This window comes from Homo sapiens, chromosome 11 (assembly GCF_000001405.40).
Source record: "Homo sapiens chromosome 11, GRCh38.p14 Primary Assembly".
Classification (NCBI taxonomy): Eukaryota; Metazoa; Chordata; class Mammalia; order Primates; family Hominidae; genus Homo; species Homo sapiens.
In genome coordinates, this window is record NC_000011.10 from 93,278,909 (window position 1) to 93,280,793 (window position 1,885).

Below are 1,885 nucleotides of genomic sequence, written 5' to 3' on the forward strand. Positions count from 1 at the left end.
AACCTACTTAAACATATGAATTTTTTTCTCCCTTTTTCCTTTCCTTCTTCCTCCCTTCCCTCCCTCCCTCCCTTCCTTTCTTCCTTCCTCTCTCCCTTTGGCTTGTCTTTTAAAAGGTCTTTAAGAGTCTGGACCCATTTTATTACATCTCCCGCTGGTCTCAAATTAGGAAGTTCTTCTCCAGTTAATTTATCTATCCATAGATATAAACAATATTTATTGAGAGCTCATGACTTTCCAGGCACCATTGAGTGAGGAAAATAGAGACATGAACAATTTATTACTACAATGTCGTTAAGTGTTGTGTTAGATATACATACAAAAGGCTGTGGGAGCCCAAAGAAGGGACTGACTGACTTTGCCCAGGGGCCAAAGGAGGTAAGGGAAGGATCTAGAGAGGAAATCATATTTGAACTGGACCTTGAAGGGGGATTTGGCCAGGCAGAAAAGTGGAAGAAAAATATTCCAGGCAGAGTGAGCAGGCCATGAATAATTTTATAAGGGAGGCCTATTCTGGAAATGGCATGGAGTATAATACTGTGTACCCGCATCACAGGAGTTCACAAGCAGGCATGACAGTCCAAATCCAAACATTTCAAGTCCTCCCTCCTCCCATAAGCCTTCCTGGGTGCTCTTGGTACCCTGGGGCCTCTCCCTTCTTGTAGTACTATCACTCAATGATTTGGTATTGGAGTCAAGACTTCTTTTAGGATTCTATTCCCCATTTGGTTTGCATCCTTCTTAAGAGCAGACTCTGCCTAATGTTTTTTTTTTCTTTACTGTCCACTTAGGTGACTGATTAATGCACACTCTGGTGCATAGTAAAACACTGAAAACTCATTACTGATAGACAGGTGACCCTTTAGCCTCTATGTTTTCAGATACAAGAGTGTCTGAATAGCCACACAAAAATATAGTTAGTCCTAAAGGTGACTAATCGGAGCATTTTGATATACCACTGGCATAAGGACTGGTGTGCAACCACCCTAAACTGTCTTTTGAATCCTCTCTCAAAATAAAAAGGGCAGACCCACCACTGGTGCAGAACCAGAGTTTCTATAAATAAGTCTTGCTGAGGCCCCATCAGACCTTTCGATGCTGACTGAAGAGCTTGCAGTGTTTACTAAACTCCTGAGATCACTAAAGTCTGAAGTAATCTCTCATGCCTCATTAATCTCCAATGTTTGAAGTAATCACTAATGTATAATAAATCTCCAGTCTCTGAAGGTTTAAGCCACACAGATGTGTTGTTTCAGATGAATAATGACAGCCATGAGTTTGCTGTTCAGTCATCCAACCCACACTGAGGGAATGCCTACCTGTTCAAAGCACTGAATGAGGTTCTTTCCCTGAGACCCACACTTCCATGTCCCAGCTGCTCTGTGTCATAATGAAAAGTGAACAATATATAGAATGGAAGTGTTATGAATGCAACTTAAAGAATTATTTGAAGATTCGAATAGATCCAGGAAACTTTTTCCATTGGTTTAAGTAAAGACTTAGAGATTCATTCATTCATTTATTTATTCAATAAATGTTTTAGAGAACCCCATAATGTGTCATACGCTGTACTAGAAGCCAGAGATATAATGATGAACAAAAGAGACATGGTTTCTGCCTGTATGGAGCACATTGCACATAGAAGGCAGAGTGATCTACAGCGTTACATTTTACCATTATTTATTGAATACTCATTTTATGCCAGGCATTAGTATAGTCAAAATAAGTTGAATGAATTAGATATGTTCATTATTTTAAGATGTGCATTTTATTTAAACAATACTACTAACTGTTTAGGATATGGGATTTGAAGTTAAAAGACTTGAGTTCTACTCTGCCTTGTATTAGGTATGTAGCCTGAGAAAATCACTTACTTTTTGTGTCT

At 39.1% G+C, this 1,885-nt stretch overlaps 1 annotated feature.

Annotated features, from left to right (window-relative positions):
* Positions 1,300 to 1,389: an enhancer, noted in NCBI's record as "active region_5388". NCBI's record gives its function as "activates an Ori minimal core promoter by ATAC-STARR-seq in GM12878 lymphoblastoid cells {active_cell/tissue: GM12878}" and the evidence as "EXISTENCE:reporter gene assay evidence [ECO:0000049][PMID:35858748]".